Genomic DNA, 25,231 nt, shown 5'->3' with positions numbered 1-25,231 from the left:
ACAATTCAAATCTTGCTGAGAATATTTGCACTGATAAATATTTTTGTGATTATTGATTATATTCAAATGCGCTCTCATTTTCAAAGCAACGTGTATAAAATTATTATTAAAATTGTACATAGCTTGAAATAATGTAATTGTCATGGGATACATTTATATATCATAATTAAAAGCACATTACAACGCTTGTACCTGATCTTAACATTACTTAACCTTAGAAATATAGAATAAATGATAGGAATAATATGGGAGACAAAAGACTGTGTGAAAAGCCACATATTGTATATCTCTATTGTTTTTATTAAACTTTTTTTCCCACTGCACTTACAAGTAAATTTGTCATGGACCATGGTAATTTTTATTGTAATCTTACTGTAGGTACATTCTGTTAGCAGGTTAAATAAAATACATGATCAAAGTCAAAAATATATGCAAGGAAAATATAGAAAATTTAAGTTATAAAAAGCTACTGTTGGTCACCGGTGGCTGGCAGGCGGGCAGCCCTAACACAGGCAGGGCTGCGAGTGCAGTCACCCAGGTCTGCAGGAGCAGCAGGCCGAGGCCAGCGGAGATGACCCCGATGAGCCCACTTCAGGTCGGGGCTGAGTGTGGGCACATGGTTCCCGGCAGCGTGTGACCCAGTCCTGGCCAGCCGCCGCCCTCTGCGGGCCCCAGGGCTGCGAAGAGGCCTTCTGCCTGGGGCAGTATCAAGGCTGCAGAGTTTTCCTCCAAAGCCACACCTCGACTGGAAGGGGCGAGTTCGAGGACTCTGTGGGTGGTAGCCATGGGCAAATGCAGAGCTGCTGCTGTTGCTTTGCAGTGCCTGTAGGACTTAGAGGGCCTGGAGTGTCAGTTCCCTGAACAGCACCCAGATCACCCTGTATTGGGGACACAGTTCATTCCCCCCTTCCCTAACTCTGCAGTAAAATCTTGAGGCTGTCATCTGGGGAAGCCACCTTGTCCGTTCAGCCATGAAGACAGAAACAGTGCCATTGTTCCAGGAGACTCCAGCTGGATCCAGCTGTCACCTCAATAACCTGTTGAGTAGGCGGAAGGTGATGGCTGTGGGGGTCTTGCTTGCTGGCTCCTGGTCATACACCTTCTGGTCAGCATGTGGCTGCTGTGCCTTCTGTCTGCATTGCTAGTGGTGCTGGGAGGATGGCTGGGCTCCAGTGTCTCTGGAGTGGCTTCAAGTCCACTGCTCCTGGAAGGCTTCATCCCATTGGCCACCTGTCCTCTATTCCCTGAGACAGAAAGACAACTGGAACAGGAGATCAACTGCACCATCCAGATGTGATTATTTGAGATTTTATATTATCCTGGTACCGTTCTGAGAGCCAGGAGCCAGCCTTTGCAGAGGAAATGGAGGCAGCCATGAAAGAGTTGGTCCAGGAGCTTCAGAGGAGGATGAGCATGATGGACCATCATGCTCTTGCTCAGAGTGTTCTTACTCTCTGTCGTTTTTCACCTGCAGAGCTACATTCAGGCAAAGGAGGCCACTACAGGGAAGAATGGTCCAGTTGAGCCTTCCCACCTCTGGGAGGCTTACTGCTGGGCTACTGCCCCACATCCTGCTGTGCACAGCCCCAGTGCTGAAGTCATCTATACATGTGGTATTGTGAATTTGTTGCTTCAAGGGCTGGTGCCCAAGTCCCACTTGGAGACTCATACTGGATGCCATGTAGTGGTTGAACTCATCATATGCAGTGTAGTCTTACCACTGATCAGCAGGCTGTCAGATCCTGACTGGATCCACCTTGTCCTCATGGGTATCTTTTCCAAGGCCAGAGATCCAACACCCTGCCCAGCCAGTGGCCCTGAACAGCCCTCAGTGCCCACGTCTCTGCCACTTATTGCTGAGGTACAGCAGCTTCCAGAAGGGAGGGCTCCTTCTCCAGTAGCAGCCCCAGGGTTCCTAGATAAACAGTGAGCCAGAGATTCCTGCAGGCCCCTCCTCAGAGGTTGAAGGTGGCCACGAAGCTGTAGAGGGAGATTTGGGTGGAATGTCTGAAAAAAGAAACGTAGGAAACAACTCATCTCATTTCCTATAGCCAAATACTTGAGGCCTCCTGTTCTTATGTGGAGACTCAGAGCTGGAGTCTCCGCTGTCTGAAGTAGGCTAAGAAACCATCATGCTCATGACTCCAGGCCACTTTCTGTCTGACAGGATTCAGGATGCCCTGTGTGCCCTAGAGGGTTCCCAGGCTCTGGAACCCAAAGGTGGTGAGGGATCTGAAGGAGTAGAGGCTGAGGGTCCAGGGACAGAAACAGAGACAGTCTTGCCTGTCTCCACACTGAACTTCTGCCCAGAGATACAGATTGACATAGCAGACAAGGAGATAGAACAAGGAGAAGTTACCACCTCTGTTACAGCTTTGATGGAGGGGCTGGAAAAGACCTGCTCCTCACGGCCCTCATGCTTAGAGAAGGATCTCACCAATGATGTGACCTACCTTGATCCTAGTCTGCCACCAGTTCTGCTTTCCTCCTCTTCACCTGGTCCTCTCAGCTCAGCCACCTTCAGCTTTGAGCCCCTAAGCAGTCCAGATGGCCCAGTTATCATCCAGAACCTTCATATCACTGGCACCATTACAGCCCGAGAGCACAGTGGCACCGGATTGTACCCATGCACACGCTATACTGTGAAGTGTGAGACATCCCTTGACGGTGAAAACAGCAGCCTGCAGCAGCTGGCCTACCACACTGTGAATCACCGCCATTGGGAGTTCTTGAATCTGCAGGCCATCAGGAGAAGAAACCAGATCTATGAAAGTTCATTAAAAATGTGAAGGGTTCTAAAAAGCTCTTTCCAGATCTTCCATTTGGAAAACATAGACAGTGACAGAGTAGAAGCCCGAAAGAGCCTCCTGTAATAATTCCTGAAGCAATTGTGTGCCATTCCAGAGATCGCTAACAGTGAGGAGGTGCAGGAGTTTCTTGCTGTGAACACAGATGCTCATGTTTCCTTTGTCAAGAAACCATTTATGGTCTCTAGAATAGAGAAGATGGTGGTGAGTGCCATTGTGGACAACTTGAAGACAGCATTTCCTTGCTCTGAATCCCAGGGCCCCACAGAGGAGCTGAGTGAGGCCGAGACTGAAAGCAAGTCCCAAACAGAAGGCAAGAAGGCTAGGAAGTCCAGGCTGAGGTTCTCATCCAGTAAAATTTCTCCAGCACTAAGTGTGACTGAAGCACAAGACAAGATTCTTTATTGTCTCCAGGAAGGCAATGTGGAGTCCAAGACCCTATCCATGTCTGGGATGGAATCTTTTATTGAAAAACAGACAAAGTTACTGGAGATGCAGCCAAAAGAAGCCCCAGAAAAAGATCCTGAACAACTTCCCAAAGGACATGTGGACAGTTGCTTGTCAGATGCAGCTGTGCCAGCCCAAGATCCCAGCAACAGCGATTCAGGAACAGAGACAGAGTTAGCTGACACAGCCCTGAATCTGCTTCTCTTGCTACTAACAGAACAGTGGAAATGGCTGTGTACTGAAAACATGCAGAAGTTTCTTCGTCTTATCTTTGGTACCCTAGTTCAAAGGTGGCTAGAGGTGCAGGTAGCTAATTTAACAAGTCCACAGTGCTGGGTGCAGTACCTCTGGCTTCTTCAGGAGTCCATCTGGCCTGGTGGAGTTTTGCCTAAGTTTCCACGGCCTGTAAGGACCCAGGAGCAGAAACTGGCTGCTGAGAAACAGGCTTTGCAGAGCCTAATGGGAGTCTTCCCAGATCTCATAGTAGAAATTCTTGGGGTGAACAAATGCCAGCTGAGTGTTTAGTCTTGGAGTCACTACAACAACCACTCATCAACAGGCATTTGATTTACTGCCTTGGGGACATTATCCTGGAATTCTTGGATCTCAGTGCCTCTGTTGAGGAGTCCGCTGCTACCACCTCTGCTTAAGATACCCCAGGCAGCCCTAAGAGGATGGGTGTCTCCTCATAGCTGGTTATTCCCGCATCCTTCCCAGGTCAGGGAAGTAGAGTTACTCAGCCACCCAGAGACCAGTGAGGAAGCCTGCATCCTCTGGAAGTAAGCTACAGCTCAGAAGGCCTAGGCTCCCAGTGGCTCAATTCTCTCCCACTTCTCCATTTGTAGCAGGTGACACAGGGTATGTGTCCCAGTTGCATGCACATTTATTTCCATGTCCCTTTTGTGGTGTTGGGATTGTTGTTGGTGAGTAGATTCTGTTTCCTTTGGGAAAAGAAGATGTGAGGTAGAGGAACAATCCCCTTTTGCTTCTCCTTTTGCCGTCCTCCCTGAGATTGTTTGCCAGAACCCTGGCCCTGTGCACAGATGTATTTAATCCACCAGCACACAAGCTCTGGATAGAACAGGAAAAAAGCAATGGCCAGATTTCCTTGGAGGAAAGAACAACCTTCTGAGCTCTCTGTTCCTACCCGGAAACTAAAAATTCATTCCGGGCCATTCTCAAAAACCAGACTCCTGGGTCTTACCTAGTTTCCCAACAGTTCCAGAAGAAGAAGGAGGGAGGAAAATTTTTCAAGGGACTTCTTGCTCATGTGTTGCTATTTCCCAACACATCAGCCTTATGGAAGATGTCATCAGGCTGCTTCCCTGGAAGGCTACACTTTTCCTTTCTAGAAGACTTCAAAGCTGATTGCAAAAGCTTCTGGTAAATCCACCGCACCCTTCACACCCTTTCCTGAAAGGCATTTATACCACACATTTTATTTATTGGCTCTCCTCCCAACCCCCTGCCCTAGAGCAACTGGGTTTTTGAATTTGTGACCCTCTCATTATCTTCAGCAAATTTACATGACAACTTGCATATTCAGCCTCAGCTTTTCCGAGGAAAAGGTAAAGCACTTGCCTCCTGTCTTAAGAATGCAAAAAGAGTAGGAATAGCAAGCTGGGGGAATGAAATCTCCCTTCATAAGTCTTTGATGGGGAACTTTTATTGCTCTGAACAGATAAGATTAGCAAACTTACAAGGAATAGCTTCTTATTTCCTGTTCCTTATGGTTATAATTAGCCTTTAAAGAACTCCAGCAAAGGTGTTCTGTTAGGCCACATCTATTAGAAAGGCAAAGAAATTAGGAATTGCTGGAGGAGAAGGATAAATCAGGAGGAATTGGTGGTAGAAGAGGATGCAGACAGTCACAGGGAAGTGGTATATATTAAATACATGTGAATAGCTGGCAAAAAGGTGTCAGGGATGTTACTCGGAGCCATTTGGCTTCACACTTGCCTGTTAGTGCCTTGCTTTCGCTGAATTACCAGAGCCTACCACTTGGAGGAAGGTCTTGGAGTTAGACTGATGAGAAGGCAATGGGGTGCCAAAAACAGGTGTCAGAGTTCTCTTAGATTCTGAAGTAGGTGGTGAGCACACAATTAAAGTGGTTTGTGGAAGAAAAAAATGCTACTCTTACTGAATCTCTTGATTACAGTTTATAATCAAAATTATTGTAAAACTTTTCTCCATGTGTAAGTAATTACACATATAAAGTATCTCCCTCATTCGGTAGATTTCATGTTTCTTTCAGAAATGTATATCAAGTATAAAACGTTTTGAATTCTAAATCGCACTTAAAATTATTCATTGTTGGTTATATAATTATAACCAAGTACATTAATGACTACATACTGTAAACTTTCTTTGCCATGTGGCACAAATAGTTAATTTACCTTTTCTTTCTCTGTTTATCTATCTTCTATGTCCTAGTCTATTTCAGTTTTCTCTCAAGTAGTGGTTTTCATTGAACTACCAAAAAGTTGCAAGGGCAACCACACTTGAAGAAAAACGTGTTAGTAACATATAGTTTAAAGCTTTTTTTATTTATAAAATTATATTCCAAATTGTTAAATTAATTTTATTATGCAGACTTGATGTCTGAAAACTTCTTAAAATAGAGAAGTTCACAATATTAGATACTGTGTCTTTCTTCATATAATGACAAAAGACTTCAGTTCTGAAATTTTAGGAAAAGTTTTGCTTTAAGATTAATTAAAACATAAGATTGCATAAGCAGAGAGCATGTAGGTACAGCTATTCTATGGAAAACTTTTTTTGTGATTAGAACTGTTAGGAACATCTTTTGAGAATATTCAGGCTATATATGATGCTGCAAATTTATTTTCATAATTGCTATAACTGGCAGGGCAAGCAGATGATATGTTTGTAGCTATCTCGTTGTAAGCACATCTCCAGGAATAAAAAAGGGCCTTAAGAAGAGGGAGGCAGGTGGCACAGTAATCACATCATGAACACAGATGCGGTGGCCCCTGAGAAAGAGTCATGATGACAGCTGCATTCTTTGTTTCTATCGCCTATGTAATCTAATTTCAAGGAAGTATCAAAGTGTCGGGGTGGAGAGAGGATAAGAATCACTAGCATGAAATCTAAAGTGCAGTCATCCGGTTGCCTGATGTCTTCTGAGGTGGTTCACCCAGATTCACAATACAGATAATTAAATTCAGAGCTGCAGAGATAGGGAAAATAAGATGTGGAAATAGACTTCTTCTGAAGTATTATTCAGGTCTCCTCCTTTTCTTCCAAATGCCATCCCCCCCATCAGTATACTCAAGGCATCTGATGGCATTGATGAGCAACTGAAAAATCATTTAATTAATCATCAGGTTCTTTATCCTTAGTTAAAAATGTAGAGGCACAAAAGTCATGTGTCAAAATATGCTCTTTTTTAATAGAGTATGGTCCACTACCCACTGTGTGTCCTCTTAACCTTTCCAGAGTAGGTGTCCTTACAGCATAAATTTAGCATAAAATTAGACACGTTCCAGTATAAAATAAAATGAAGACATAATAAGCCAATACTGAATTCTTTAGTGAATCTAGAAAATTCACTTTAATTTTTTTTCTAGAAAATGGATTTATTTTAGTGTATTTATTTGTTTTTGCATTTGCCTCATGGTTCTGCATGGCTAACTTGTTAAAGTCACAAGATATCGTATATTGGGTGGATTTGCAAGCGATGTTTAGTGTTTTCTTCCCTGATGAACCAACATAACCATCATTCTGCTATGAGTCTATGTTATGAAATATGTCTATGTCCTGCTATTCTCAGGCTTCATTTTTGCCTCTAAATCTTCCAGGTACTGTTGTTTTTGACAATGTAATAGATATTACTTCTTTCTGTGCCTTCAAAATTTCACTAAGGAAATAAACTGGTTACCAAAAACACCTGTTTGTTAAAAATTGGAGTCAAACTTTTTAAAGAAGAGATGTACTTTGTTTTCTTTCCTAAATATTTAAAAATTAATAGGATTTATCCATAGTATAACATGGTTTTAAAAAGTAATTTAACTTTAGTTTTATTGAATACCTATTTGTGTAGTATATTACATTTATTTTTGTTAATATTAAATTTTTTAAAATTTAGGTATAAATTGTGCATTTTATATGATATTTATACCATTATTTTACTTTGGGTTCTCTCATTTAAAGTTATAACCAAAGTTACACTGTTATTCATTTTTTGTGCTATGCATTTAATATTTTCATGGATTCCTTTTTTTTCTATTTTAAGCTAGTATATATTGCATTATATTTAAAACCACCACAACAGGTAGGAAATGGGGAGTTGTTACTTGATGGCTATAGAGTTACAGTTTTGTGAGATGGAAAATATCTGCAGCTCTGTTGCACAGAAATGTGAATATAGTTAATACTTATGATATCTACACTTAACATGATTACGATAGTCAATTTTATGTGTATATTTTTGCTGTAATTAAAAAATACCATCACAAGTTTGAATGATAACTTATTTTGTATAATATTGAGTGTGTTCACATCAATAAGAAAAGCCTAATATACCAATAAGAAAGAGTTAATCGGACCAGGCATGGTGGCACACACCTGTAATCCCAGCACTTTGGGAGGCCGGGGCAGGTGGATCAACTGAGGTCAACAGTTCAAGACCAGCCTGGGCAACATGATGAAATCCCATCTCTACTAAAAATACAAAAATTAGCTGGGCACTGTGGCCTGTGCCTGTAATCCCAGCTACTCTGGAGGCTGGGGCAGGAGAATCGCTTGAGCCTGGGATGCAGAGTTTGCAGTGTACAGAGATTGTGCCATTGCACTCCAGCCTGGGCAACAGAACGAGACTCTGTCTCAAATGCATACATACATACATACATACATACATACATACATACATACATACATCTGTCCATTACAATATTTTAGAGATGTGAAAAAAAGTTGCATAACTGGTGACTTGAATATCTATGTTTTTTGTAAGCTCTACTAATACATTGAGAGTAGTTATTCAAGGAATAAAACAATGAAGAGTTAATGCTAATTTTATGTTCACATAGAAAGTATTAGTAGCAGAAAGCGATTTCATCTCAGAGAAAAAGGAAATTCTTACATAACATAATGAATGATGCAACCAGGATACAAGAAATTATAACAGTATTTTTGTATTTGTCCAAACGTTATTTGAAAATCCTCAGTGCACATACTTTAAGAATTAGGGTTAAGGCCGGGCTTAGTGGCTCACGCCTGTAATCCCAGCACTTTGAGAGACTGAGGTGGGTGGATCACTTTACTTTGAGCCTATTGGTGTCGTTACATGTGTGATGGGTCTTTTGAAGGCAACAGAAGGTTGTATTTTGTTTTCTTTCCAATTTGCCACTCTATCTTTTAAATGGAGCAATTAAGCTGTTTACATTCAAGGTTAATATTTATATGTAAGAGTTTGTTCTGTTGTAGTGTCGTTAGGTAGTTTCTTTGTAATCTTGATTGTGTAGTTGCTTTATAGGGTCTGTTAGCTTTATATTTATGTGTGCTTTTATGATAACAAGTATCATTCTTTCGTTTCCATTTTTAGAACTCTTTTAAAAATTTTCGTAGGACTGATTTGGTGGTAACAAATTCCCTTAGCATTTGCTTGTCTAGAAAAGACATTAGTTCTTCTTTGTTTATAAAGCTTAGTTTGGTGGGATGTATAATTCTTTGTTGGCATTTATGTTTTCTTTCAAAATGCTAAAAATAGACCCCCAATCTCTTCTGGCTTATAAGGTTTCTGCTGAGATGTCCACCATTAGTCTGATGGTATTCCCTTTATGGGTAATTTGGCCCTTTTCTCTAGCTTCCTTTGAGATTTTTTTTTATTTCACATTAATCATGAATAGTCTGATGACTATTTGCCTTGGGAATGGTCATATTGTTTAGTATCTCTCAGTAGTTTTCTTAATTTCATATATCTGGATGGCAATGTCTCTAACAAGATTGGGGAAATTTTATTTAATTATTTCCTGAAATATGTTTTCCAATTTGCTTACTCTTTCTTCTTCTTTCTCAGGAATGCCAGTAAGTCATAGGTTTTTGTTGTTTAACATAATATCATAGAATATTTCTTGAAGACTTTGTTCATTTTTTAAATTCTTTCCCTCTCTTTTTGTCTGACTGAGTTAATTTGAAACGTGGTCTTTGAGCTCTGGCATTCTCTATTCTGCTTGTCTAGTCTGCAATTAAGTCTTCTGATTGTATTTTGAAATTCCTGTAGTAAATTTTTCAATTTCAGAAGTTCTGTTTGGGTTTTCATTAATATACCTATGTCATCTTTCATATCCTGAATCATTTTCCTGTTTTTTTTTCTATTGGATTTCAACATCCTCTTGAATATTGAGTTTCCTTACAACCCATACTTAGAAATTTTTAATTTGTCATTTCAGACATTTCAATCTGGCTAGGTTTCAGTGCTAAAGAGCTAGTGCAATCCTTTGGAGATGTTGAAACACTGTGATTTTTTGTACTGCTGGAGTTCTTATGCTGATTTTTCTCATCTAAGGAAAGTGTTGTTTCTTATTTTTGAATTTGTATTGTTTGGATGGGGCTCTTTATTTTTTTTCCCTTGAGGGTGTAACTGTGGTGGATGTTATGTATTTTGGCTTAGTTTCTGAATGCTTTTGGTGGGCGACAAGGCTCTACATGTTGGTTGTGGATATGTGGATACGTTTTGTGTGGTGGCTTTATCAGATATTGTTTGGTATAGCCATGTATTTTTTATTTGATGGTGCATTTCAGGCTGTAGTCCAGTATATAGCACTTAGGAGTATGATATGGCAGGTAAGCTGCTGCCCATTGGATGAATTTGCACTGATGAGCATGGTGGGAAGAGATCATGATGGAGTGCCCTGAAGCCTCCAGGAAAGAGATGGAGGGGTGCACCAGCTCTTCATCCTGAACTAGAAGAAATGCAGTCTGCTTCCCTATCATATCCCTGTCACAGGTCTCATGACCTTGTTTGTAAAATCTTCATCCTTTAGTTCCCAGCACAGTGCCTTTGTGGGCCATGGATCTGCCTCTCTGATGGCTACCACTATAACGAGGGTCAGGGTAGAACCTCTTCCTCCAGTACAGGACAGACAACTTTGTAGTCTATCCTCTGTTGTCAGGGTGCTGCCACTCTGTGTTGGAAGGGGGAGTTGGACCCCACCCCTTGTGAAAGCCAGAGCAGGCACAGTCTCATTTTCAGCAGGGATGGATCCACCACCCCTGCTGAAAGCACAAAGAATCACTTTCTTACAGTGCACACTCACCAGCTCTTGCAGGAAGAACTGCTACTGCATTCATAACAGTGTACGGTGGATGAAAGGTGGGAGACGATCCTCTTCTTCATAATTATTCCTGGATATTGATGCTGTCTCATTCCTCAGTTGGTGCCACATCTGTATTTCGTTTGTCCCAGGGAGTACTTTCGCAGGCTGTGCTCCCCAGCTCCTTAAAGGGTGGCTCCATGCTGAGAGTAAGATCTCCAGAGAACCTACAATACCCCAGGCACCCACTGGTCCCCTGTGCTTGCCAAAGTCAGAGCAGGTTGTGGAGTATATTTGCAGGTGGTCTGGTGGTGCAATGACTTAAGGGCAGAGGATCCTTGGGAAGGAAAGTGACACACTGGTGCACAACCAGTATGGTGCCCACCATCTCAGTTCAGGTCCAAGGGGAGAGTGGGTATGGCTGTGCGAGCTGGCCACTGGTTCTGTGTTCTCAGGAAATTCTCTAATCATCACTGATTGTGTTGCCCTGGCTAGCAAGGGCAAAGGGGCTCCCCAACCGTTTAGCACTCGGCAGGTGGTCAGAGGGGTGTAGAAAGAAGCAACTTCTACCTACCATTTTGGCTGAGCTCTGTGTTGCTCAGAGGTTGATATCAGCCAGAGTCTTGCTGCATTCTTCTTCTGGGCTTCAACTTCTTCGCGTGGTTACTCCAACAGGTCCTCACTTCTCTATATTTTCCATTCAAAACTTGTTCATTCACTGGTAACTTTGATCTTTCTGAGAAGAGCTGGCATGTAATTTCCCCAGTCAGCTTGAAAAAAAAAAAAAAACTTTGTTTTCAGAATGTATACATTTATCACTATAAATTTTCTCCTTAGTACTGCTTTTGCTGTATCCCATTAGTTTTGGTATGCTGTGTTGTCATTTTCATTAGTCTGTAAATATTTTCTAATTTCTACTGTGGTTTCTTCTTTAATCAACTGATGGTGTAAGAGTGTGTTTAATTTCCACGATTTTGTCAGTTTTCCAGTTTTACTTCTGTTATTGATTTCTCACTTTAATTCATTGTGTTCAGAAAAGATATTTTGTGTGATGGCTATCTTTTAATTCTCCTGGGACCTAATTTGGGCCTAACATATTTTCTGTCTTGGAAAATATCCCATATACACTTGAGAAGGATGTGTATGCTGTTGTTGGGTAAATATTCTGTATATGTTAGAACAATTTGGTTTATTCTAAGTCCTCTATTTTCCTTACCTATCTTCTGTCTGCTTGTTTTATCCATATTGAAAGTAGGGTATTGAAGTCTTAAACTGTTATTGTAGAATTGCTTATTTCTCCCTTCCATTATGTCAGTTTTTGCTTCAAATATTTTGATGGTTTGTAAGCGTTTATGATTGTTATATCTTCCTACTATATTTAACCCTTCATCAGTATATAATGTCCTTTTATGTCTCTTGTAAACATTTTTATTTAAATCCTAATTTTTCTGATATTAGTATAGCCACCCCTGTTGTCTTTTGACACAACACCCTACTCTCTTGACTTACCTAGCCAGGTTTTAGTGAAAAATCCTGTTAAGTCAGTTTGGTAAGAATCCCTGCAACCTTGAAATCAAATTCGTTTTTTTACTGCCAACCTTTGATAGCTAAGTTCTTGGCCAGCCTTTAACAAGAATCCTTCTAAGCCAACCAGTGATCTCTGACTGCTGTTCAGAAGAAACAAGGGATGGATAATGTAAAAATCTGAATCAATATTTCTAATTCTGGGCACATATTGGAATTGGCTAGTAATCTCATATTAGCTTGGTTCCAACAACTGCCCAGCTCACGGAAAGCCTTCTAATTTAGTTTACTTCAGATATTTTTACTTATTTTGCTCTACTCTTGTGGAATATATTGCTGTTGTACTCTCTGTGTAGGAACATAGGATAAACTTATTCAATGTTTCCTTAAATTAAACACTTACTAATAATCTCCCAGATATCACCTTTTGTCAGAACTCAGAGTTAGGAATGGCCTTCACCATACTGATGCTTTCTGACTGAGCTCCTCTCTACCCCAAATACAGGGGACCCTAATAATTAGGCAGGAATATCATTACCCCTATTCAGCCTGAAGAAGTTTCAGAAGATGGATCTTCATCCCTTTGCAGCCCTTGGTATTAAGGATTCTCTTATAAAAGTGAGGGGGAAATGTCAGAGGTGTTTGAACCAGAGCAACTCCATCTTAAACAGGAGCTAGGTAAAATAAGGCTGAGATCTACTGGACTGCATTTCTAGAAGGTTAAGGCATTCTAAGTCACAGGATGAGATAGGAAGTCGGCACAAGATACAAGTCCCTGATGAAACAGGTTGCAGCAAAGAAGTCAGCCAAAACCCACTAAAATCAAGATGGTGACAAGAGTGACCTCTGGTTGTCCTCACTACTACACTTCTGCCAGCGCCATGACACTTTACAAATGCCATGGCAACATCAGGAGGTTACCTTATATGGTCTAAAAAGGGGAGGCATGAATAATCCACTCCTTGTTTAGCATATACTCAAGAAATAACCATAAAAAATGGGCAACCAGCATCCGTAGGGACGACTCTGTCTATGGAGTACCCATTCTTTTATTCCTCTACTTTATTAATAAACTTGCTTTCTCTTTACTCTGTGTACTCACTCTGAATTCTCTCTTGCATGAGATCCAAGAACCCTCTCTTGGAGTCTGGATCCAGACACCTTTCCTGTAATGACCATGTATGAATTGAAAAAATGATTAGACAGAGTGAAAAACAGATTAAAAAATTAGTTCTTAGTGTATGACTTCAATTTTCTAAAACTCTACAAAATTCAAACTAATCTAAAGAGACAAAAAGTAGGCCAGTGGTTCTCTGGGGGGAGGAGAGTGGACAGGATCTCCATAGTATTACAAGGGATCCCTTGGGAGTGATTTATATGTTATAGGTAGTGATGTTTTCTTGTTAGTTTAGCACTTACTTATTGTTTGTTTGCTTGTTTACTTGCTTTCTGTGTCCCCTACTATAATTGATTATCTGTAGCCAGGGTTGGCAAATTATGGCTCCATGGGCCAAATCTCACTCATAGTCTGTTTATGTATGGCCCACAAGCTAAGAAGTGTTTTTATATTTTTGAAGGGATGTAAAAAAGAAAAAAATGCAACAGTAAGGAACAATATGCAACAGAGACTATATGCACCTCATAAAGTCTAAATATTTAATATCTGGCCTGTTACAGAAGAAATTTGCCAATCTCTGCTCTATATGATCAATTATCTCCTATTCTATTCACATATGCATGGTAGCCTGTATATTACAAAATAGCTAGAAGAGAGTGTTGGAAATAAATTTTTGGTGCCGCAAAAGAAATAGCACTCGAACATGAATTTTCTCAGCAAGGCAATTTTACTTCTATAGAAGCGTGTGTCTCATGGATGGAGCAACGGTGAGAGCACACCCGAACAAGGGAGGGGAAGGGGTTCTTATCCCTCACCACCCCTACTGCTGCGTCATTCCCCTATTGGCTAGGGTCAGACCGCACATCTAAGCTAATTCAGATTGGCTATTTTAAAGAGAACAGAGGTATGAGCCAGAGTGGCAGGATGAGTAGTTTGGTGGGAAGGACAGTTACAGAAAAGGTGACTCAGGATGACTAAGAACAGAGCAGGTGACCAAGGATGACCAAGATCAGAGCAGGTGAACAAGGGTGACTAAGATCAGAGCAGGTGACAGAGGGTAGGAGGAGGTTGTTTACTGAAACTAGGGGCAAGGAGACATAAAGAACAAGGAAATTCAACTCTAAAATGAAGAGCAAAGAACGGGGAGCCGAACATACTGATACATTGGTTCTTTGGAGAGGATCTCAGAACTCATAGTATTTAACAATTTACAGGCTAAAACTTTTGAGGAGGAATTTATGATATCCTACAATTTTCTCCCTTTCAATTTTCATAGTATTTCCTCTTCAAACTTTTTTTAACATATCTTGGCTTTGCTGCTCAACTTAATCCTCTAAAAGAAAAAGCTGATCTGAATAAGGTGAAGGAGAGCTAAGGGAGGTTTTAGTAAATGCTGCATCTATAAGTCTTTGCACTAGTCTATAGATGCATGGTATGACACAACACTGGACAAGAATGAGTACACCTACTACAGCTGCAAGAGAAGTAAGAATTGAGGCTATGATACCTTTCCATTTAATGAGCCGTTTTTCTAGCCACCCTGTGAAGGGGTCATTCACTCTTGAGTTTTTGGCTAACTCATTGGACAGGGCAGTTAGACCTTGCAATGCCTTCGTTGTACTTCCATCAGGGGGCGGTGTTGTTTGCGATGAAGGTACAACATTGAGTTTTAATCATGATGCAGACTCCTCCTCTTTCTGCTAATATTATGTCTAAGGCTATTCCATTTTCCCAAGCCATCTGGCTAGTAGGCCCTAATTGCTCAGCTATTCCTTTAACAGCATCTTTAGTGTAGTTAATAAACTGCTGTTGGTTGTAATAAATGTAATTTATCCAATCTATGTTTTTATTCATTGTCACCCACCAAAATATTGACTCAAATCCTGCAGCTATTTGATCTCTGGCTTTAAATTTATCTGGTACTCCTCATGGGACCCCAATTACATCTAAATAAATGCGAGAGTCAGAAGACACATAAAGGGCTTCCCTTGTTTTATGATGTTGTATTTTTCCTCTCTCTGGTTGGTGAAATGCCAGGGTGAAAGGGATAGCCTACTGGACTAGAGTACAAGTGCCACTCCAGTTACTTGGCAGAGAGTCCAGTAAAGGTCCACCACAATACCACCATACATCTGCTCAGGGATGAACAAGGGCTGCTGATTGGTAAGCTCTTGGAAAGTCTTAAGCTCATTGCATCCTTTCAGGTCTCCAAGAAACACCAAGTTTCCTCCCTGTCATGAGAGACAAGAAGTGAAATTAATGTGGGGAGATGGAAGCTGGATGGCCTTCAGGGGCTGACCTGCAGAGTGTTGAACTTTGGGATATAGCAGAGAGAGAACTTGACATGACTTGTTACCCCAGGCTGTGTAATCCTGGAAAAGAGCTACCATGCAGCCCATGCCTGGTCGACTGGAGGACCACCCTAGTGGAAAGGGGTCAATCTGGGCCTCTGGCCTGCCATGCACTCAAGCATAACAATTGCTTTTGTTTCACCTGCAGACGGAATATTTGATCCATTCCAACCAGGCATTTGCATCTTGATATCCTGTCTCTATTGCTAAAGTTTGTTTTAAATCATTTACTTCTACGGCGTCTACTTTGGTCCTATCATTAGATGGAGGAGTAACAACTATTTCATTGTGAGAGGTTTTGGAAGAAGGCTTAGGGGAAGGTGTAGGTGGTGGGGGATCAATGAAACATATTTCAAAGTATCTGATAGGGTCTGTTCCTGAAACCTCATCCCCCATACCATAAAAACCAGCTTAAAGAAGGGAACCAGCTTAGAGAAGGGGAAGATCTTTGAGGGTTTGGGGTAATAACCTGTATTGGATTGCACTGGTTTAGCTGACAGCTAGGTGAAGCTGTTCCTTTAGTAAAATGAATGTATGGCTTTAGGAAATTACAACTACTGGTTGAGGCAGTCCATCCTTGCTCTTTAGTGGTCCACAGAACGTTGGACCAACTGCAGCATAAAAGCTCTATGGGGGGCAAGACTCCCAGCTGATGCCGGGGTCCTCATTGAAATCTTCCCAGACTAAATGATCCCAATTCAATAATGTCCAGTCTGAGAAGAGCCGGGAAGGACAGAGGTACTTTTCTGAAGTGGAGAGCTGTCTTTGACTTAAAAAGTCTCCATAGGATGTAACAAGGCAAGCATCAAATTTAATAGTTTGAGGTGAAATTGACTTGGTTACATTAATAACTAGGTGGTCAGCAATAGAGTGAGGAAAGAAGAAGGAGTAACAGAATAGATGAAAGGAAGTTAAATTTTTCTTAGCTTTAGTTTGGTAGGGTTTTCCCCTGGGACTATGGCCCATGACTCTGGAGGGGGTGGCGCTTTCTTGACTCAGGTGTAACGGGTCCATCCTTTTTCTGCTATTCGGACTGCAGTTTCAGTAGTTAGGAGCATTAGGTAAGGTCCTTCCCAGGCCAGTTCCAGCTTTTCCTTCTCTCCAAATTTTGATGGGGACGTGGTCCCCAGGCTGATGTTGGTGTACTGGAAACTCAGAGGTGGCACCTGTGCTAAAAGACCTTTAGTTCTGAGGGAAGATAAAATGGAAGATAAACCAAGTATATAATTTCTGAGAAACTGATCTTTTGTTTCAAATGTAGGAAGATCAGTAGTAGAATGTAGATAAGGTGATCCATAAAGCATCTCTTAAGGGGATAGGCCTGTGTCTTTTGGGGGAGCAGTTCAGACTCTTAACAGGGTAATAGGCCTTTCTACTTTCCCTAATGAAGATGAGTGCCAGGGAGTATGATAATCCCATGTTACATCCAGTACCTGGGATAATTTCTTAATGACATGTGCCGTGAAATGAGTCCTGTTATCTGAATTAATGTTTTCTATTAATCTAAACCTGGGTATAATATTTTCAACTAATGCCTTGACTACATTATTAGCAGTTGTACTTGAAAAGGGAATAGCTTCTACCCAATGAGTAAGGTGATCTACTATTACTAATAAATATTTCAGACGACCAATTGGAGGCATCTGTGTGTAATCAATCTGGATACTTTGGAATGGCCTTAAGCCTGGACTCCTTCGCCCAAAGGGTAATCTTTTACTAAGCAACTGTCTGTAACCTGTTTGGCCAGGGTATAAATTCCTATGCACCCATAAACTCTGAGGACTGCATCACACATGGCTTGGGACCCACAATCGGTCCCTTGATGCAGTTGGAACAAGAACTCCCTTATAAGGGGCTTGGATAACATTTCTCTCTGGTCTAGCAATATCCATTTTCCTTCTAAATTCTCTTTAGCACCTATTTTTATTAGTTTTTAGACCAAAGAAAGCCAAACACCATTTTATATTTGACAATGCTTCCTGTATGATTTTATACCAGATAAGCTAAATTTCACCTTTATATTAGTGTGCCATTAATGTTAAACTCAATTTTAATAAAACCTTGTAGGCATATTTATCCAATTTTAATGTCTGACCATAAGGTAAGATTTTTATAGACTCTTTTTAAGCCTTTATAATTTTTGTTAAAGAACAGGTTAGTGCTTTAAGAAAAACCCATCGTGCTTTTATTTTAATGTCCAGTTTACAGAAAAACTGTACCAGTCAGCCTGAGCTCTTGTTATTTGAGTAACTTTGCAAGGAACTTGGGTACCCTCTTTAGTGAAAAACATAATATTCGGAGACATTTTTGCATACTAGGAATAGGAAAAAGTGTGTGAGAGGATAACCAGAGAATCATATTTTCTGGACAAGGCACACTGTACTCCAACTATAATACACAGTAAATGTACTACTATAAGCAGTAATACATTTAAAAAGTGTGCCATCTGGGTCAAAGAAACCAAAAAAACAAAACACCACAAAACCTGCGTAGGAAATCCATTCTGCTATTTTCTAGCTTTATAATATTGCACCGTATTCTTAATGCTTCTTTATCTTATTTTTATCAGATGTAAAATGAAAGGAATGAATATATCCTAGAGATATTTTAAAGCTTAAAAAGATGTAAAACTATTACTACATTTCTTGTTGTTCAATGTCAACTCAGTTGTAATTAGTACTAGTACCACAAGATATCATTTGTTTTATGCATAAAATTAGAATATGCAAAAATATTGTAAAATTTTGGAAGTGTTGTATTATTGTAAAAAGTTTTACTACGTTTTTATACTTACTTTTTTTCTTATACTTTTTTGTATTTAATTTTTTTCTTAAATGCTAATGCACATTTGTTTTCTTTTCATTTTGTTATTTCTTAAATAACTCGGAATGCTTTGGCTCAGAAACATGTTTTTCCCTTCACTAATAGGAATTATTGAATCCCTTTAGGAGACTCTAAAGACTGAGTCTGGAAAACAATTGGTTAACATTATACCAGACTGTGACTAGAACCCAGTAAAAAAATATAGAAATAGCCTTGAATGCTATAAAAGAGGAAAAGCCTAAAATAGCCTGTAGTGGTGAATCCCCAAAAGTCTTGGTCTTGTAAGTGATCAAGGAGGGGTAAATTTATGATGAAATCTAAGGTCTTGAAATAGGGTTCTGTCATTTTCAGAGCTTACTTGGGCAATTTAAAAATGAAACGTCAACTGAATTAAAAAGTCCACATAGAAAAAATTATAATATCTACCAAGTACTAATATAAAAATACTCTAAGAAGATAAGATCATAAAAATCTAGGGGGAAAATATTTTATACTAAGATTCAGACTCCTACTATCATGAAGATAGGTGGTAGAGAATTATAACTCATCTCTGGTTCCCCAGATTATTTTATCAGTATTAAACAGAAGTTAACATAGGCCAATACATAACACACCAGTAAATAATTTGTTCAGGTGGTTGTTTTTCATGAACAACATATATTAAGCAGCCACTGTGACGAAGGGTTTGTGAAAGTGTTGAAAGTAAATGCCTTCTGCTGGTTAGTCATGCCCTTTTACATTTTACTGTATCTTTCACACCATTCATAGACGTGTCTTCATGTGCTGTCAGATATATAGTGCAGTATAAAATGCATTCGTATCTAGATCTATCACATACTGTATATCACGTATCATATACTTATAAATAGATCTGTTATCTCTGTGGCTTGGAGATATGCACCTATCATTACTCCAAAGTTGGTGTGAGTGGTACTGTTTTCAAAGGGAGAGATAATAGTATAGTAACCAGTTATTTATAAGGCAATGTCATTTTCTCAATGTCATCAAAGTCTATATCTTAAGTTTTAAAATAAAGAATACAAAGTAGGAAATTTAAAAGATATACAATGGAGAAAGAATACTTAAAATCACTAAAGTTTATTTCATGAGTTTTTATTATCATTACAGTTTGCTTCGAATCAATCAACTGACCTTTCCCACAGGCCAAGTTGATTTGCTTTAAGATTACAGTGAATCCACTTGTAAGTGTATGGAGACAGGGCTAAAGTGGTAACAGTCTCATGAGTTTACTTTGTTTCTAGGAAAAGAACGTTTCTTATGACTACAGAAACCTGACCAAGCTTCTGATACCGACTCTTCAGTTTTGACATAGCTGCCTTCACTTCTTTGTTTCTTAGCATGTAGATTACAGGGTTTAAAATAGACGTGAAGATGGTGTAGAATACAGCAAGGACTTTGTCAACTGAGTAACTGCTGAAGGGCCACACATAGATGAAAATACACGATCCAAAGAATAAAGTGACCACAGTGATGTGAGCAGTCAATGTGGAGTGGGCCTTCACCATGCTTACAGAGGAGCGATTCCTAACTGTAACAAGTATTACAGTGTAGGAGACAACCAAGAGGAGAAAGGAACTCAGAGAAAGAAAGCCACTATCTGCAACTATTAGTAGGCTGACAACATAAGTGTCTATGCAGGCTAACTTCGTCGCTAGAGGAAGGTCACAGAAAAAAACTATCTACCTTATTAGGACCACAAAATGGCAGATTAACGTGAATGCCAACTGGCTGGTGGTATGGATGAAGCCCACAAACCAGGAAATGAGGACGAGCACAACACATACACAGCAGCTCATGATTGTCATGTAGTGGGGAGGTTTGCATATAGCAACATAACGGTCATAGGCCATGGAAACTAGGAGCACCATTTCACTGCCAGTGAAGAGATGAACAAAGAAAATCTGGGCCAGGTGGGCATCAAAAGAAATAGTCTTGTGCTCAACCAGAAAGTCTGCAATCATTTTAGGGGTAGCAGAAGAGGCAACACATACGTCTATAAATGACAGGTTTGCAAGCAGAAAGTACATGGGGGTGTGAAGGCGGGAATCTGAGGTCACAGTGAGGATGATGAGAAAGTTGCCCAACAGAATTGCTAGATAAAGTAGTGAAAATATAAGAAACAAGAAAGGTTGGAGCTCCCTTGAACTAGACAGTCCCAGCAACACAAATTCTGTCACCCAAGAATGATTTGTCTCATTCATTGAATTTTGGAAGGGACTTAATTTCAGCTACATGAATAGGAGAGAAACAGAGATCAGTTAATGAAGTGAGCATGGGTTTGGTTTTCCAGTTACACTTAAACTTTTCAGAATTCCAATTCCTATTCCTATGTATGTGTCTGGGTTTTCATGAGTTATTACAAGTTATACAGCTAAGTGTGGAAGATTGGGTTAAAGGGGAGAGTTGTCAAGGAGATGTTCAACCAACTGGGATATCTAAATACATTAATTTAAGAAATAAAATCGACAATTTAAAAATGAATTTGAGCATTTTTGTGACACTACAGAAATCCAGTCTAAAAGTCTACAGAGACAAAATCTAAACCAATTTTTCTAAAGTAAATGATAGTAAAAATTTTTTGAACATCTGCCACAGAGGAAGATAATTTCACAAACTTGATGACTAAAAAAGTTAGACACAAAAGAGTATACACTGTATTGGTCTATTTAAATGAAGTTCAAAAATGGCAAAACTAAGGTGTAGAAAAACCTCATAGCAGTTATCCTTAAGGGACAGGAAGTGGTCATGGGAGGGGTTTCTGAAGTGCTGGTAATATTCTTTCTTGATGTGGTTGATAGTTACATGGGAGTGTCTACTTTATGAAAACTTACTGAAATATGAACTTTTGCTTTTTTCTCTTTTCTATACATAAGTTGCATAATTATGAAAATTAAAATAGAAAGAGAGACAGCATTAGATTTGTGTAAGAGAGCTCACAGGAGAAATCATTGCCTTAAGTGATTATATCTTATTTCTTCTCTATAGTTAAACATTATGTAAACTAAAGTACAGAACCCTGGCAAAACTGAAAGGCCCCAATATTATTGGAACTCTTTTATGATTCAGCTTTTCATGGAGTTCTACTTTATCATGAAATCTAGCACACTGGTTCCTTTCAATTAATCCCTGAAGGTATGAAGCGTCTTTAAACTTAGCCATTGGTGTTACTAACCATAGACAGTTTATTGAGCTATGATTGATATTTCATTTGATGTGACGTGACTTAAAAACTTATAAGTTATATTGCTTACTATAAATACTAATATAACTAATAAGTTATATTACTTATTACTAAGGAAATCAGACCAGAAAAAAAAGATTTTTCTTTTCTACTCAGTTAGTCTATATTCTATGTTATCAGAACTTTCTTCCTTTTATGTTATTTTTATTTGTAGAAACTATTTAGAACTTAGAAAAGTTTTATGGTAAATAAGAAAAAATAAAATGTGAATTTTAAAGGAGCATTACATTATCTGATTTTGAAGAATCTTTCTCTACATCTTAACCAGGTCTTGGGAGAGGATGTCTTTTATTTTACTCATTTCTAACCACTTGCAATTTTTGATATTAATGTCTTCTTAGATCATAGCTGCAAATTGCTAAGTCTCTCTTTGGGTTAGACTGGAGGGTTTATTTATAAGAACAGAACGTGTGATAAATAATTTTAACTCCCAGAAACCAAATTTAGACTCACCTCTGTATTTCAAATCTCCAATTCTCCCAAAAAAATACAAATTTTCTCCCTTATTTGCAAATGATGTGTTCCAAGACCTCCAGTGGATGCTTGAAACCACTGATAGTACTGATTCCTATATAAGCTATATTTTTCCTATACATGCATACCTAAGATAAAGTTTAATTTATAAATTGGGCACAGTGAGAGATGAACAGTAATAACTAACAATAAAATAAAAAAGTATAACAAGATACTGAAATAGCATTTATGTGAATGTGTTTCTTTTTTTCCTCTCTCTCGCTCTCAAAATAGGTTAATATTTTTGGACCACAGTTGACCTGAGGTAACTGAAACTGCTGAAAACAAAACCATGGATAAGGGAGAACTCTTGTATTATCACAGATTATATCAAAACTATGGCTCTAGGCTTGTTAGAAGAGTTTAACAAGTGGAGCTTGAAGGTAAAGCAGGCTACCGAAAAAAATTATACAAATCTCTCTTTCTTCTCACTTCCCAGAAGTCCTGACCCTTCAATCCTGTGACGTAAATACTGCATTGAATCCCTAAGGCATGAATAGAAGTAAAATCTAACAAAATCAGCGAATAGGAGTTCATAGGTACTCCATCAGAAAGAGAAAAGCCATAAGCACAAGGAATGAGTGTCCTATGGAGACCCTCCGGGTGCTGCAGCAGAGAGGGGCATCAGGAGGCATTTCTGAGCACAGAAACTTCCTGGTGTCTTTAGGCTAAGACACATAATCCAACTGTGTGAACGACAGTCATAAGAATCATCCTCCCGATAGCTTTTCTGACTCTTCTGCAGAGCTCTATTGTTCCATTTTCATTGGCTTCTTCAGGTGCTCAGAAAAAGAAAAGACCCTGTTTTTCATGGAGAAAACATTGGGCAAATTGATTCAATCAAGAACTTTCTTAGTATATAAGATGAAAGTGGTGGAACACATGAACTCTGAACCTGTTTCTTACCTAAATCCATTCTTTTTTGGTTCATTTACTTTATATAAATTTAAATGCCTGCTTTTCCCCAGGCACTGTGCTGTGCACTGGTGATGAGGCAGTTAGGTTTATAACTTGTCTCCCTAAAAATTATTTGCTAATATTAATAACCCTTTCCTTATTTAGACAAGCTGACGAATTCACTTCCCTTTACCCCTAGTACATTCCCTATTAGATAAAATGGACTGTATTTTTGTTCCCAATAAAATCGCTGTACTGTAGTGAAAACAAAGCTATTATTTTAAAATGTTCTATGTTGTATCATTGGGTAACTGTGTGACGCTGAGCAGTTCCTTTAGCCATTCAGGGATTATTATCATCAAATATTAAATCTTGAGACTATTAACCTCAAAGAGACACTAAAAATATTTCTTAAAAGATTATATAAATGAAAATTCTTTAACCAACTGTAGTGACTAAGTATATGTATGCATTCTTAATAATGTATTATTTTAGATCAGAAGAAGTATTTTCTCATAATTTTACATTATGTGGTCTGACTCACACAAGAATGAGTTTCCAATAAGTAGATGTTTTATGTAAAGACGTTTTTTTAAAAAAATTCTTGAAAATTTGAAGATGGATTAATGCATGTATACAGGGCTGTGCTCAGCAAATATCAGTTCCCTCCTATTTTAAATTCTGTCAAATGAATCTTGCCTCAATATTTCTATCTCAGACATTATGACTGATAGATGAAGTGAAATAAATAGGTATCGTTTACAGGGGCCACCAAACTCTACAAGTTCAAATAGGTATCTTTCACAAACTTGCCAATATTGCTGTTCCCCTGACCCCCCTCCCACTCCAAATGCAGATCAGAGAAATAGCAGTCTCTCTATTATAGACTATATTGGAGACAAATGCTGGTGCATGGTCTTCAGAAGGATGCTGACAAAACACTTTTACTTACCTAAGATGAAATGGAAAGTGTGGAGCTATCCTATAATCTATAGTTGTTAATGCTTGGGAAGAATTTCGTTGTTACTTCCACATCTCCTAAGAAAACAGAACAATCCCTCAGGAGATAAGTCATAAAGAATTCACTTCTAAACAAGACAGAAGTGGATTCAGGGTGTCTGTAGCTGAGTTGTTTTCAAGGAGGTGAGACAGGTCTGGATGCTGTATCTTAATCTAAGTCTTAGGCAACTAGAGGAGCATTTGGAGCAGTCGGGAATCTGAAAGGAGAAAAAGAGTAGACTGAAAAGAAGAAATGCTGAAAACAAAATCTTCTGCTTCACAATTTTGCAAAGGATTCAGCCTCACTGGATCTATAAAACTGGAGAATGTTTTAGGAAGTACCATCAATAATAGTGATTTTTATATGATTTGGGATCTGTAAAGACTCTGAAGTAGTAAGATATTGCATTATTTTATCAAAAATTTCATCAGGGAAGATTTAGGGTTTTCTTCCTTTCATCTGACTTTCCCTTGATTCAAAGTGTAGGTGACTTTTTACTTGCTTCTGACAGATATATATAATCATTATATAACTAAATCAAACATCTTGTGCAGTAGTGATATAATGAATTTACCATAATAGTAATATTTTAAAATATATTTTAAGGAATTATATATGGGATATGCTTTTGTTCACAAATAGAATATATATCCAGCAAGAAATGTTAAATTTCATTAGTGGTTTATATTACTACTTTCTAGTCATAGATTAACAAGGACCATTCTAAACTATAAGCTTTAAAAACCTGAAGTTCAAATCAATGGATGCTGGCCAAAGACATTATGGACTATCAAAAATGTATTAGCCATCTTGAGTACAATGTACACTACTTGTGTTTGTGGGTGATAGGTGAACTAAAAATCTTATACTTCACTACTATATAATTTATCAGTGTAACCAAAAACTGCTTGTATCCTAAAAGTTATTGAGATAAAAGAATATATTAATTTTTAAAAATTAAATACATGTATTAGCCTAGGATATAGAAAATATATTTTCCAATTCTATCTTTCACTCAATAACTTTATAGTTGTAAGCAAATTACATACCCTCCCAGGTGCTCTGTGTTTCCTCAAAAAAAGAGTAGAATTCCCTCTCCCAAATGCAGTCTCCGGTTTTTGAAAAACATGATCCAAAATGAGTAAGTCAATTCAAAGATAAGAATAATTATAAAATATTATATTGAAATTAAGGTATATCCAATCAAAAGTGT

At 38.8% G+C, this 25,231-nt stretch overlaps 1 long non-coding RNA gene and 2 pseudogenes across 5 annotated transcripts in view; 2 read left to right on the top strand and 1 right to left on the bottom strand.

The window, feature by feature from the left end:
• Window positions 1-25,231, top strand: part of LOC105372004 (uncharacterized) — an 87,301-nt gene that overhangs the window by 8,732 nt on the left and 53,338 nt on the right. For 3 of the 5 annotated variants that reach the window (XR_935172.2, XR_935174.2, XR_935171.2), the window contains exons 2-3: window positions 21,353-21,499; window positions 22,356-22,504. The exons of the other annotated variants lie outside the window; for them this stretch is intronic. This is a non-coding gene — a long non-coding RNA (uncharacterized LOC105372004). The remainder of the gene's footprint in view (window positions 1-21,352; window positions 21,500-22,355; window positions 22,505-25,231) is intronic. 5 annotated transcript variants of the gene reach the window in all.
• On the top strand, window positions 476-5,395 carry SNX19P3 (sorting nexin 19 pseudogene 3; annotated as a pseudogene).
• OR4K8P (olfactory receptor family 4 subfamily K member 8 pseudogene) lies at window positions 19,597-20,568 on the bottom strand (annotated as a pseudogene).

Source organism: Homo sapiens, chromosome 18 (assembly GCF_000001405.40).
Source record: "Homo sapiens chromosome 18, GRCh38.p14 Primary Assembly".
NCBI classification, from domain to species: Eukaryota; Metazoa; Chordata; class Mammalia; order Primates; family Hominidae; genus Homo; species Homo sapiens.
This window is presented reverse-complemented; position numbering and strand designations above follow the sequence as displayed.